Below are 15,544 nucleotides of genomic sequence, written 5' to 3'. Positions count from 1 at the left end.
AAATTTACCAAGCAAATGGAAAACAGAAAAAGGCAGTGGTTGCAATCCTAGTTTCTGATAAAACAGACTTTAAACCATAAAGATCAAAGAAAGGCATTACACAGTGGTAAAGGGCTCAATTCAACAAAAAGAACTCATGATCCTAAATATATATGCAAGCTAATACAGGAGCACCCAGATTCATTAAACAAGTTCTTAGAGACCTACAAAGAGATTTAGACTCCCATACAATAATAGTGGGAGACTTTAACACCCCACAGACAACATTAGACAGATCATCAAGACAGAAAATTAACAAAGATATTCAGGACCTGAACTCAGCTCTGGATCAAGTGGACCTGATAGATATCTACAGAACTCTCTACCCAAAAACAAGAGAATATACATTCTTCTCATCGCCACATGGCATTTATTCTAAAATTGATCACATAACTGGAAGTAAAACACTCCTCAGTAAATGTAAAAGAAGTAAAATCATAACAGTCTATCAGACCACAGCACAATCAAATTAGAACTCAAGACTAAGACATTCACTCAATACCACACAACTACATGGAAACTGAACAACCTGCTCCTGAATGACTCTTGGGTAAATAACAAAATTAAGGCAGAAATCAAGAAGTTATTTGAAAGTAATGAGAACAAAGAGACAATGTACCACAATCTCTGGGACACAGCTAAAGTAGTGTTAAGACGGAAATTCATAGCACTAAATGAACACATCAGAAAGCTAGAAAGATTTCAAGTTAACCACCTAACATCTCAATTTAAAAAATTAGAGAACAAAGAGAAAACAAACCCAAGCTAGCAGAAGACATGAAATAACTAATATCAGAGCAGAAGTGAAGGCGATAGAGACAGGAAAAACCCTCCAAAAAAATCAGCAAATCAAAAAGCTGGTTCTTTTTAAAAATCAATAAAACAGACTGCTAGCTAGATTAATAAAGAAGAAAAGAGAGAAGAATCAAATAGACACAATAAAAATGATACAAGGGATCTCACCACTGACCCCATGGGAATACAAACTACCATCAAAGGATACTATAAACACCTCTATGCAAATAAACTAGAAAATCTAGAAGAAAGAGGTAGATTCCTGGACACATACATACTCCTGAGACTGAACCAGAAAGAAGCTGAATCCCTGAATAGACCAATAACAAGTTTGGAAATTGAGGCAGTAATAAAGAGCCTACCAACCAAAAAAGCCCAACCAGATGGATTTACAGCTGAATTCTACCAGAAGTACATAGAAGAGCTGATACCCTTTCTTTTGAAACTATTCCAAACAACTGAAAAGGAGGGACTCCTCCATAACTCATACTGTAAGACCAGCATCATACTGATACCAAAGCCTGACAGAGATACAACAAAAAAGAAAACTTCAGGCCAATATCCCTGATGAATATCAGTGCAAAAATTCTCAATAAAATATGGGCAAACCAAATACAGCAGCACATCTAAATGCTTGTCCACCACAATCAAGTTGGCTTCATCCCTGGGATGCAAGGCTGGTTCAACATATGCAAATCAATAAACATAATTCATCACATAAACAGATCTAAAGACAAAAACCAAATGATTATCTCAATAGATGCAGAAAAGGCCTTCAATAAAATTCAACATGTCTTCGTGTTAAAAACTCAATAAACTAGGTAGTAAAGGAACATATCTCAAAATAATAAGAGCTATTTATGACAAACCCACAGCCAGTATCATACTGAATGGGCAAAAGCAGGAAGCATTCTCCTTGAAAACTGTCACAGTACAAGGATGTCCTCTCTCATCACTCTTATTCAACATAGGATTGGAAGTTCAGGCCAAGGAAATCAGGCCAGAGAAAAAAATGAAGAGTATTCACGTCGGGTGGGTGCAGTGGCTCATGCCTATAATCCCAGCACATTGGGAGGCCGAGGTGGTAGATCACTTGAAGTCAGGAGTTTGAGACCTGCCTGGCCAACATGGTGAAATGCCAAATCTACTAAAAATACAAAAAAAATTAGTGGAGTATGGTGGCAGACGTCTGTAATCCCAGCTACTCCGGAGGCTGAGGCAGCAGAATTGCTTGAACCCAGAAGGCGGAGGTTGCAGTGAGCTGAGATCACACCGCTGCACTCCAACCTGGGCGGCAAAGTGAGACTCCATCTCAAAATAAAGAAATAAAGAGTATTCAAATAGGAAAAGAGGAAGTCAAATTATCTTTGTTTGTAGTTGATATGATCTACATCTAGAAAACCCATTATCTCAGTCCAAAAGCTTCTTAAGCTGATAAGCAACTTCAGCAAAGTCTCAGGATATAAAATCAATGTGCAAAAATTGCTAGCATTCCTATATACCAACAACAGGCAAGCAGAGAGCCAAATCATGAATGAATTCACATTCACAATTGCAACAAAAATAAAATACATAGGAAAAGGCCAAGCATGATAGCTCACGCCTGTAATTGCAGCACTTTGGGAGGCCAAGGCAGGCAGATGGATCACCTTGAGGTCTGGAGTTCAAGATCACCCTGCCCAACATGGTGAGACCCTGTCTCTAGTAAAAATACAAAAATTAGCCAGGAATTGTGGTGCGTGCCTGTAATCCCAGCTACTCAGGAGTCTCAGGCAGGAGAATTGCTTGAACCCAGGAGGCGGAGGTTACAGTGAGCTGAGATTGTGCCACTGCACTCCAGCCTGGGTGACAGAGCAAGACTCCATCTCAAAAAAATGAAATAAAATAAAATAAAGTAAAATAAAATACCTAGGAATACAGCTAATAAGGGAAGTGAAGGACCTCTTCAAGGAGAACTACGTATCACTGCTCAAAGAAATCAGAGAGGACATAAACAAATGGAAAAACGTTCCATGCTCATGGATAGGAACAATCAATATCATGAAAATGGCCATACTGCCCAGAGAAATTTACAGATTCAATGCTATTCCCATTATACTGACAGTCTTCACAGACTTAGAAGAAACGATTTCAAAATTCTTATGGAACCAAAAGAGACCATATAGCCAAGACAATCCTAAGCAAAAAGAACAAAGCTGAGGCATCACGCTACCCGACTTCAAGCTATACTACAGGGCTACAGTAGCCAAGACAGCATGGTACTGGTATAAGAACAAACACATAGAATGATGGAACAGAATAGAGAACTCAGAAATAAGACCACACACTTACAACCGTCTGATTTTTAACAAACCTGACAAAAACAAGCAATGAGGAAAGGACTCCTTATTTAACAAATGGTGCTGAAAGAACTGGTTAGCTATATGCAGAAAACTGAAACTGGGCCCCTTCCTAACACCTTCGACAAAAATTAACTCAAGATGGATTAAAGACTTAAATGTAAAACTCTAAACCATAAAAACCCTCGAAGAAAATCTAGGCAATACCATTCAGGACATAGGCACAGGCAAAGATTTCATGATAAAAACGCCAAAAGCAATTGCAGCAAAAGCAAAAATTGACAAATGGGATCTAATTAAACTAAAGTTTCTGCACAGCAAAAGAAACAACTATCATCAGAGGAAACAGACAACCTACAGAATGGGAGAAAATTTTTGCAATCTATCCATCTGACAAAGGTCTAATATCCAGAGTATACAAGGAACTTAAGCAAATTTACAAGAAAAAACAACCCATTAAAAAGTGGGCAAAGGACACGAACAGACACTTTTCAAAAGATGTACATGTGGCCAACAAACATATGAAAAAAAGCTCAACGTCACTGATCATTACTGGAATGCAATTCAAAACCACAATGAGATCAGAATTGCTATTATTAAAAAGTCAAAAAACAACATGCTGGTGAGGTTGTAGAGAAAAAGGAACACTTTTACACTACTGTGTAATTAAATTACACTAGTGTAAATTAATTCAACCACCATGGGAGACAGCATGGTGATTCTTCAAAGACCTGGAGGCAGAAATACCATTTCTGGGTAAATACCCAAAGGAATATAAATCATTCTATTATAAAGATAAGTACATTTGTATGTTCAGTGCAGCATTATTCACAATAGTAAAGACATGGAATCAACCCAAATGCCCATCAATGGTAGGCTAGATAAAGAAAATATGGTACATATACACCATGGGATACTATGCAGCCATAAAAAGGAATTAGATCATGTCCTTTGCAGGGACATGGCTGAAGTTGGAAGCCATTATCCTCAGCAAACTAATGCAGGAATGGAAAACCAAACACCGCATGTTCTCACTTATAAGTGGGAGCTGAATGATGAGAACACATGGACACAGACAGGGGAACAACACACACTGGGGCCTACTGGGGGTGTGTGGTAGAGGGTAGGGAGAACATCAGGAAGAATAGCTAATGGACACTGGGCTTGATAGATACATGATGTCATGATCTGTGCAGCAAACCACCATGGCACACCTTTACCTATGCAACAAAACTGCACATCTTGCACATGTACCCCTGAACTTAAAATAAAAGTTGAAGGAAAAAAATGCATTATGCCACTTCAATGTGATATACTATTTTGCAGTCATTAATATAAAATACTAAAAATATTTTTGATATCTCTGTAATGAAAATAACAAAATATAAAATAACAGTTTGGGTGAAATAATTTAAAATATGTAAACATGTAGAAAAAATATAACATTAAAAAGTGTTAGCATGAGAAAAATGAGATTATGGGTGGCTATTATTTCTTTTACAATTAACTTTATTTACGTTAAACTATCATTTAAATTCAAGTGGAAAAGAAAAATTTCTTCCCAACAGCAAGATTAATAAAAAATGCACAAATAAACATCAAGTTACCTTATAAATAAATTTCAAAAACAGTAGTATACCTTAGTATTTCCTAATTAGTCTTAGTACATCAAAATAGAGCTGCTACTATATAAATCTTTATAATTTCATTATTTGGTTTAGTAAAATAATTTCATTATTTGGTAAAAAAAAAAAATTCATTTCAAATAGATTTTTATTTCCTTAATACATTTACCTCTAAAGGATGAAGGTTCCTGAAGAGCATTACTTGCCAATCTAGCTGGTCCACAGAATACCAATATAGTGACAGGCGTCACTGCTGAACAACATCTAATATTAGCTATTCTATGGGCTCTGGTCATTTCATCATAAATAAGCCAATCTGTGGGCAGTGCCTTAATTGCTGCAGCTTGACCATTGGCTGGAGGAATCTATTAAGAAAATAAATTTTAAAAATTGTTAATTGTGTTTATCACCTAGTTTATTGGAAATACTTTTAAAATGTAAAGTCTCTCAATGAAATAGATGATGTATATTAGTACGTAAGCAAAAATTAAAACAAGTCATCGCTCATGTAGTTCGTACAAAAGTACTCATTACTTAACATGTTACCTTTTCCAACTCTAAAATTTATAAGTTTTGTTCCAATATTTAATGATATATATATATATATATATATAACTAATTAATTTCTTAAAGCAGGCAGGTATTTGGAGCATTTTTCATTGATAGTGAACTACCTAAATTAGTTTCACCTCAAAACCCAACAGCATTCAAAATCTTTTACCTTTTTATATTGAGGCTGACTGAGAACTGAAGCAGGATGAAATCGTACTTTTTTCTCCTTTGGCCCTGTCAACACTAGATTCTCTCTGTCCACGTGGACTAAATTAGGATACATGCCTGCCACCAATGCAGCTTTAACGACAGCCCAATTCTCAGAGTTTGTGTTAACGTCCCGAATGTCACCACCACCTCGTGCTCTAACAAAACCTAGAGGGGAAAAAAACCACACCAATTTTTCTATTGTGCAAAAGATACTTTTGTGTATTTTTTCCAAAAACTTGTACAACTCATGTAAATTTTGTGATATTCAAATTTCACGATAATTAATAGAATCTCCTCTGGAAAGTTGTTTAAAATATGAACCACCCCTCCCCACCCTAAAACAGATACAGAACCAACATTCTAGGGAAGTGTAGATCTGCTCAGGTTAGATTAAGTATAAGAATCACTTGGGGCTTAAATTTTTTTAGATCCACATTCTTGCAATAAAGTTCTTCATAATCTGCTGCCAGAAACAAACTAAATTCATAGCTGGAAACCCAAACCATTCTTCTGACTGTTATTAACAACATTTTGGTTATGATAGATACTAATTCTGTAGATGAAGTCAAGTAAATATATGGTAATTTTTGCTTGAGTTTCAAAAGTCCTTCATATTTCCTTATGTTCAAGTCAACTCTTAAGTCCTCTGGTTCATTCCTTATATTACTCTGGCACTTCAGCTAACCCATGAATCCAGGCTCTGGTACTATTCTTCTGACTACCACATCAATTTTTTTTTGCTACTCAAAAAGGCAATTCTAAAAGGTAATAGCAATACTAGCATCCTCTTCAAAAAAAAAAAAAAAAAAAGGTGACTTCAAGTATTACTAGCTGTTTTTGTGTTCCAAAAATATGAAGAGCAGCATTCATATCAATTTTTTAAAATTTCTATTTCACAGAACTAAATAAGTATTCATTAATGGTGATAAAAGAAAATAACTATAAGATCTAAATTGATCTCTGCCAACCAATACAAATTGTTCATTGCCAACAGTATCACAAGCATATAGATTCTGTCCCTAGATTTCTCAAATACACCTCCTGCAATAGCATTTTTTCATCAACAAGCAAAAGTTGAAGACATATCGAAGTCTACAAATCATGCATGAATATAAGATACACAACATGATAATGTCATAAAAATAATAGATGGCATCAGTTAACATAAGAAATACTATGAAATATGGGCAGGGTACTCTCAGTAACTTAAATAGGCTCTTTGAGGGAAAAACTTTACCTGATGCTCTAAGTTGACCAAGCAACTGTGTTCTCATGCCTATGATTATTTCCATAGTAGCCTGTGAAAGAAAATTCTTTTCACAAAAGGCTCGCTCCCACCCATCACTTCGTGCTTTTTGCCAGGCCTATAAAAAGAGAATAATTGCATAACAAGACACATTTACTAATCGCTTCTTAGTGAGGCAACAAGTAACTACAAATCACTACACGAATTCCTCGACGTGAATTTGCCTTATTCTAATTTTCTATAAAATCTAAGACTTTATGATCAAATAATATTTATCATTAATTTATACTCAAATGCTAAAAAAGCCATTGAGTTTATAAAATCGCAAAGAGAACTAAGTGTCAAGTAGCCTAAATGACTAACAATGTAAAAATATTTGCCTTCTCAGATGCATCTGCTAATTTTACTCTCTACAAAAGTATAGGTTTTCAACTAAGACTTCTTAACACTTATATCTAAGAATCGTGCCACTCTTGTCCTCCAAAAAATAATCTCTATGTCAACCCTGGACTCTACCTAAGAATGGAAAGTAGGATTTCTATAAATCATCTATATGCAGTATAAAAAGCTCTCCTCTGTGAATAGGTTCTCTTGCTTTGGTATATATATAACTAAAAGACTGAAGCAATAATTTATCCTCTCTGCTTTTGAAGGAGCTGGGGGAAAAGCAAAGAACAGATAGAAATTCTACTCTAAATCTCCCTCTACTTCTCACTCAACTATCTACTATAATATATGGTATTTAATATACCCAATTAATAACAATGAGTTATCCATTGATCAATACTCACAAAAGAGCTTGTAATTATTTTTGAAAATTATATGTGGTGAAAAAATCTTCTGTGTCTGAAAAAGAGTACTTTCTGCATAAACAAAGTTAGATTTTTAAAAAATATGGCTGGGCATGGTGGCTCACACATGGTAATCCCAGCACTTTGGGAGGCCAAAGCAGGCAGATCACTTGAGGTCAGAAGTTCGAGACCAGCCTGGCCCACATGGTGAAACCCTGTCTCTACTAAAAACACAAAAATTAGCTGGGCATGGTGGTGGGTGCCTGTAACCCCAGCTACTCGGGAGGCTGAGGCAGGAGAACTGCTTGAACCTGGGAGGCTGAGGTTGCAATGAGCCAAGACTGTGCCACTGCACTCCAGCCTGGGTGACAGAGCAAGACTGTCTCAAAAAACAACAACAAAAAAATGTATAGACACAGTCGACATTCAAGAAGATTTGAGAATAAATACAATGCCTATGTTTTCAAGAAATAACATATTCTTCCCCACATATCTGAAATTCTAAATTACATTTAATTTGTCTTCCCCAGGATCCTATTTTCCCCATCTTTTCTTTTCCATTTGCCTCTTTCCTCAACTTGCCATTACCATTATCTTAAAAGGTTTTTAAGTGATTTTTGTATTTTGCTTTACAAAATTAAGTTCTCAGCATAGTGTCTTGAGCAAACAAGAAAAAGGCTGAACTCTAAGAAAAATCGATAGATATTACATCAATATAATTTTCTTATAAGCTTTATTCTATGTACTTTAAATAGTATACAGTATTTCTTAACTGAAATTTTAGAACATTCCTTGCCCAAGACATGATTTAAAGAAACCTGGTAATAGAAGCATAAACACAAATAAATATATATACAAATACACACATATATTCCTATAAGGAGAAAATGGGAAAAAAGAGCAAAACTGTTTTAATTTTAACATAACAACAGCAAGAAGATATTTTTCAGGACTATTAATGTGACTTCATAATGAAACAAAATTAATGCAATTTTAAAATTTATAAATTATTTTTAAAATTCCTACATTTGCCCCAGAAACGTGTTTACCCAGCAACGTCTTCAGAAATAAAATGACAGTAATAGTACCTGGAATGCTCTGAGAAGTGCCATATGGTCACTGAAAGCTCCTGCAGTAAAACGTTTCCTACAAAGCATAGCTGCACGTTTTTGAGAGGCCTGAGTAGGTAGTACAAAAGGATCTCGATAAGCTAGTGTGCAAGCAATTGTAAGGATGGGGTCCAGACACTTTAAAACAACAGCACACAAGACCATTTTACCAAGATGTGGTTCTACTGGCAAGTCAGCCAAATGATACCCAAGTTCAGTCAGATCTTCCCATGTATCCATTGCATCTATTGTCTAAGTAAAAGGAGACAGAACAGACTTTGATGTGAGCAAACTGTTTAATCAAAACACATAATTAAAAACCCCTAAATGAGAAATAAGAATATAGATTTTCTTTTGCTACTACATCTCATAAAAATATATTTCGTTTCTATTATACTATATAAAAGAACTATATCTACTGTTTCATACATGACAATATTATTTAAAGTACATGATCATTTAAGATAATTGTTTAAAAGTACAAAATTAGTTTATCTGGACACATGCAGGAGGACAAAAATAAAAAATAATTATACAAAATTAGTTAAGACATATTTCCTTTTAGTTTAAAATTTCAAGTAAAAATGTCATGTAAAATAAAACTATGAAGACACCAACCTTAAGCATTTGTACAGCATTTCTTACAATTAAAGCTGGTGGAGGTTCAGGAGCTTTCATAAGAAAATCAGCAATGGGACAATTAACTGGGGCTAACAGCTTGGTATGTAAGCAAAGTTCCTATAAACCAAAACAGTAAATAATTTTTTAAAATTAAAAAGAATACTAACCTACACATTTAAAGAAATCATGGGAACTACAGTTCCCAAACACAGACTAGTAGAGTCTCTGATTAGAATGAACAGTAGAAGGAACAATGTCTTTCTGTAAAAGATGAGCTCATACTTTGCCCTAGATGCCAGAACCTTAATAAATACCCTCTTCAATCAACTTATACCAAGATTGCCATTGCTCCCATTGGCAACATCTCCTCACACTGTTCGTATACATAACATTCATAGTCACTGTCCAAAAAAAAAAAAATCTTTTCCCCCCTTTATACTTACTACATTCTAGAATATTTTATCTACTCAGCAAATATTTAAGTGCTTTCTAAGTGCAAGGCCCTGTGCAAATTGGAGAAAAAGAAGGGGACAGAAGGAAGTGTCCATTCTCATTGAGTTTACACTGTAATATGAATAAGCAGACTTTAAATAATTAATTATATAATTAACTACTTAATTACGATTATCGTCAGTGCTATGAAGGCTATAGGGAGCTAAATAAGTAAATATGATTTAAGCAAGTTCAGAAAAGGGTGGGAGAGGGAGACCATGGGAAGTTACAGATAGTTTTCCTGAAGAAAGACACTTAAACTAAGATGTAAAGATTGAGTAGGAGTAACTATATAAGGAATAAGGGGAAACAATCTAAGGAGAGAGTAGATACCTGTGAAAGCTGTAAGGCAGAAGGAAAAAAGACGTGCTTGAGAAACTAAAACCAATGGTGTAAGAGAGGATAAGTAACAAGAAATCACCTGTTCCTTCCTTCCTGTGACTGGAGACACAGGCAGGAACAGGCAATTTACGCTCTTGTTAAGGATTGTGAATTTTCTCCCAGGAGGAACAGAAAATCACACATAAGCATTGGGAAGTGGGAAATCATCTTAGATATATGGATGTTTAACACATTATCCTGCCTCTCTTTAAGGGTTTGGAAGCCAGCATTAGCCAAACACACTAAAGAATCAAATAAATGCATTCTGCTAATCTTCCCTAGAAGCTATAGGGTCTGGCTGTTCCATGAAGTTAGAAAACTTAAAACACACACACACACCCACACACACCCACAATTAATACAGGCAGGAACAGGCAATTTATGCTCTTGTTAAGGATTCTGAATTTTCTCCCAGGAGGAACAGAAAATCACACATAAGCATTGGGAAGTGGGAAATCATCTTAGGTATATGGATGTTTAACACATTATCCTGCCTCTCTTTAAGGGTTGGGAAGCCAGCATTAGCCAAACACACTAAAGAATCAAATAAACGCATTCTGCTAATCTTCCCTAGAAGCTATAGGGTCTGGCTGTTCCATGAAGTTAGAAAACTTAAAACACACACACACACACACACACACACACACACACACACACACCCACAATTAATAGAGGTCAGAAAATCTCAGTGAACTCAGTTCTAAAACTACTAGATAATCTCAGCATCTTATAGTGAGATTTGGATATTATCTTTTGGACCTTAAATAATTTGTTTGCTAATCCCTCTGAGAACTTAAAAGGTGAACACTATATAGTTGAAACTCATAAAATGCTGCATTTAAAAAAATATGGCTGGGTGCGGTGGCTCACACCTGTAATCCCAGCACTTTGGGAGGCTGAGGCGGGTGAATCATGAGGTCAAGAGTTTGAGACCAGGCTGGTCACGATGGTGAAACCCTGTCTCTACTGAAAATATAAAAATTAGCTGGGCACGGTGGTGGGCGCCTGTAATCCCAGCTACTCGGGAGGCTGAGGCCAGAGAATCGCTTGAACCCGGGAGGTGGAGGTTGCAGTGAGCCGAGATCGCGCCACTGCACTCTAGCCTGGGCAACAAAGCAAGACTCTGACTCAAAAAAAAAAAAATATAGATAGATAGATAGATAGATAGATAGATAAAAAATATATATATATCCTTTAAAACTGTACCATAATTTAAATATTCAAGTGATTCTTTAAAATTTTGATGGTTTATGAATTAAATTTTCTTATATAGAAAAAATATTTGTTATAGACATAGCCACCCTCCATAATATATATTGAATAATTTTGTTTTACAAATTGATTTTTTAAAGGCCTAATCCATAGAAGTTGAAATGGCCCCTCACTTCCCTCACCCAAAAAAATGCCTTTTATATTTAAATAAATTTTTACCTGTAATGGCATTCTCAAAAGTTCCGGAGTCTGAAATTCCAACATATTCTGGAATCGGAGTCTACTGAACAGACGAAAACAAATTCCAGGTCTACATCGCCCTGCCCTTAAAAATAAAGTACAAGATTAGGACTCAAACAACGAATAAAGGCTACAATAAACTGTAAACGCAATGTGATTTAGGAAAGAGAAAAATGATCCAGGATCAGGATACCTGAGTTTAAATCCTATTCTGTTTCTTATCCTCTTATCAATCATTTTGGAAAGCACTTCACTAGTCTGGGTCTCAATTATTTCAGACAGTGAGATTCATGAAGGACACCTACCTGATACATCTTGTAGGGTTATGGTAAAAATCAAAAGAAATAGCATACATATAAAAGTGAGCAAAAAACAAAGCATGAATGAATATTGGTAATTTAAATTCAATCAATTTTACTGAGCTTATATCAAGCACTGTGTTCAGGCCCAGTGATTAGAGTCATACAAATTATGCATTACACAGCTCCAAGGGAATGCCATTTATCCTGTCATCATAAAGACTTGCATAATTTTCTATGAAGCAGCAGAAAAATACCTGGAAGAAAAGCAGTCTCCTAAATTCACCCAAAGTCACTATATCAGCTAATGGCAGGGCTAGCTATGCTTAGGGATAGAGATATAGAAATATTCTTGTCTTCATGGAGCTCACAACCCAGATAGGCAATCATCACTATAACACATTATAAGAGCTATAAAATCTGACATTATTGATCAACTCTTTCCTTCATCAAATACAAGAGGACTTCAAAAAGTTTGTGGAAAAATGGAATTAAAAGAGAAAAAAATAAAATTTCTCAACCATTAAGTTCAAGACACTTTTGTAAGTGATGACACCAGCCATTTAGTCCTCCCTAAAGAACTGAGGGTCCAGGGAATGTCATCATGTCAATGCAGTTTTACATTATTACCCTAAGAAAAATGGGAGTCCTTTATAGGTATTTTAAGATTAGAAAATAAAATAATTCAGAAGGAGCCAAGCCAGGACTATAAGGTGGATGCCTAATGATTTCCCACAAAAACTTTCATAAAATTGCCCTTGTTTGATGAAAGGAATGAGCAGGAGCATTGCTGTGGTGGAGAAGGACTTTCTAGTGAAGCTTTCCTATGGGTTTTTCTGCTAAAGCTTTAGCTAACTCTTCTCAAAACACTGTCATAATAAGCAGAAGTTACTGTTCTTTGGCCCTCCAGAAACTCGATAAGCAAAATGCCTTACGCATCCCAAAAAACTGTTGCCATGACCTCCAGTCCGCTTTTGCTTTGACTGGACCACTTCTACCTCTTGGTAGTCAGTTTTGGTTGTTCTTTGTGTTCAGGATCATACTGGTAAAGCCATGGTTCATCTTCTGTTACAATTCTTCCAAGAAATGCTTCAGGACCTTGATTCCAATTGTTTAAAATTTCCATTGAAAGCTCTGCTCTTGTCTGCAGTTGATCTAGAAGCAATGGTTTTGGCACCCATCAAGTGGAAAGTCTGCTCAGTTTTTAATTTTTCAGTCAGAATTGGGTAACCTGAACCAACTGTGATATCTACAGTGTTGGCTATTTTTGTGCTGTTAATTGTTGGTCCTCTTCAACTAGGGCACAAATGAGATTTCTTTTTCCTCACAAATTGACATGGACAGTCTGGTGCTATGGGCTTTATCTTTAACATCATCTCATCCCTTCTTAAAATGAGTTATCCATTTGTAAACTGTTGATTTCTTCAGGGCACTGTCACCATAAATGTGATATTTGCTCTTACTTCAATTTTAGAAGAATTCATGTTGCTCTGGTAGGGGCTTTTTTCAAACTGATGTCTTATCTTTCTTAGTGCCTCAAATGAGATCCTGTTCAGATACGTTATAACAAGTTAATATGAGTTTATTTTGGTGCAAAAAATTTTTGAACTCCATGCATAATTTTTTTCATAAGATGCATTTTCCATAAAGTTTTTGAAGACCCCTTATACTTCCCTACACTATACCCACCCTTCAGCCTCTGACTTACCTCCAGGCTCCTCTAAGAGATTTCTATATTTGCCTAGTCCTTAAATGTTTATGGTCCTCTGAGATTGAACCCTTAGCCATCTGCTCTTCTTACACTACCCTCTCCCCTGAAGGAACTTTAATTATATTCATAACCTCAATTTCCATCTGTATTATATCTTCTTATCCTAATTCTAGGCCTATACTTGAGAAACTTCTTAGACAGCTCTACTTAGATTTTCTTTTTTTTTTTTTTTTGAGACGGAGTCTTGCTCTGTCACCCAGGCTGGAGTGCAATGGCGTGGTCTCGGCTCAATGCAGCCTCTGCCTCCCAGGTTCAAGCGATTCTCCTGCTTCAGCCTCCTGAGTAGCTGGGATTATAGGTGCCCACCCCCACACCTGGCTAATTTTTGTATTTTTATTAGAGACAGGGTTTCACCATGTTGGCCAGGCTGGTCTTGAACTCCTAACCTTGTGATCTGCCCGCCTCAGCCTCCCAATCCACTTCGATTTTCTACAGGCAACTCAAACTCAAAATAACCAAAAATTAATTATTCTCTCCAGTGAAAACACTCTTCCAATTTTCCCTATCTGACTATGGCACTACTGTCCGATTTTTTAAGACAGAAACCTGGATGACATCCTTAACTCCACTCTCTTCCTTACCCCTCACCCCCTACATACACAATCAATCACCAACATTACTTTCTTTAGTATCTCTTGAATTAATTATCTATTTATTTTTATTTCCACCACCACTAAAACAATCCAGACTACTTTCATCTCTCCCTTATTATAGGAAAGTATTAATGAAGAAGCCTCCTACTGGGTCCTCCTACCATCATTTTTGTTCCTGCCAATCCATTCTTCAGAGAGCTGAAAGAATACTATACTCATGTCATCCCACTGTTTATTTTTTTAAAAAAGAGAGAAAACTCAAAATGGTCCTTAAAAACTTGTCCCCAACTTTCAGCTCATTTTTCACTATTCTCTAAACTAAATTCTATCCAAACATCCTCCCTATTCACTCTTGCCTTTAGGCAAATAAGTATACCTGGTTATACTTTCCCTCTGCCTTTTAGAAATGCCTCCCCCTTTATTCACAATTGTCTCAGATTCATTCTTAACAACTCTGGAAACATCCAGTTGTAGCACAAATAACACTGTATTAAAATTGCTTAATTTACTGGACTCCCACATGGACTGCAACATTTGCCCTACCTCCAGCTTTACCTATCAGGCTATGGTTTATTTATCACTATCCGTAACATGTGCACAGGGAAGACTTTTGATAAACATTTGTTGAAAAATGGCAATGAAAATTTTTGCAGTTCTGGCCTTCATCTCCAATAATATACTATTTGTTATTTTATTTTTTTTGAGACAGTGTCTGGCTCTGTCGCTCCGGCTGGAGTAGAGTGGTATGATCACAGCTCACGGCAGCTGCAGCCTCGACCTCCCAGGATCAGATGATCCTCCCACCTTAGCCTCCCAAGTAGCTAGGCCCACAGGCCTGTGCCACCACACCTAGCTGATTTTTTAATTTTTTGTAGAGACAAGGTCTCACTATGATGCCCAGGCTAGTCTCAGACTCTTAGACTCAAGTGATCCTTCCACCTCAGGCTCCCAAAGTGCTGGGATTACAAGCATAAGCCACTACACCCAGCCTTACCCACAATAATATACTATTAATAGCAGGGACATCCAGCTTAATGTATCAAGCCACTATTGGTCATAAGAAAACAACTGACATAACAACAACAAAGCCCTCATGGGCATTCTATGAAGTTACAAAGTAAAGAAATAATGCACATGAGTCTTCAGTATATGAGGCATTCTTTGAAAGTCAGCATTTCATGTTTTCCTGCTAATTATAATAAAATGCAAGATAAATATTTACTGAAAAT

General features: G+C 36.2%; 1 protein-coding gene across 12 annotated transcripts in view; it reads right to left on the bottom strand.

Moving 5' to 3' along the window:
• Positions 1-15,544, bottom strand: part of YTHDC2 (YTH N6-methyladenosine RNA binding protein C2) — an 81,591-nt gene that overhangs the window by 22,468 nt on the left and 43,579 nt on the right. For 11 of the 12 annotated variants that reach the window (XR_246540.4, XR_948288.3, XM_047417527.1 and 8 more), the window contains 6 exons: positions 11,632-11,737; positions 9,325-9,444; positions 8,686-8,958; positions 6,798-6,924; positions 5,520-5,725; positions 4,968-5,163 (listed from right to left, as the gene is read on the bottom strand). Coding sequence is in view for 9 of the 12 variants with exons in the window: in XM_047417527.1 (XP_047273483.1) it covers positions 4,968-5,163; positions 5,520-5,725; positions 6,798-6,924; positions 8,686-8,958; positions 9,325-9,444; positions 11,632-11,737 (1,028 nt within the window). In the remaining 3 variants the exon portion in view is untranslated. Of the gene's footprint in view, positions 1-4,967; positions 5,164-5,519; positions 5,726-6,797; positions 6,925-8,685; positions 8,959-9,324; positions 9,445-11,631; positions 11,738-15,544 lie in introns of those variants that run through there. The other variant, XR_001742200.3, reaches the window with a different exon arrangement.

The sequence above is a fragment of the Homo sapiens genome, chromosome 5, assembly GCF_000001405.40.
Source record: "Homo sapiens chromosome 5, GRCh38.p14 Primary Assembly".
Classification (NCBI taxonomy): domain Eukaryota; kingdom Metazoa; phylum Chordata; class Mammalia; order Primates; family Hominidae; genus Homo; species Homo sapiens.
The sequence above is the reverse complement of the archived record's forward strand: the minus strand, read 5'-3'. Positions and strand labels throughout refer to the sequence as shown.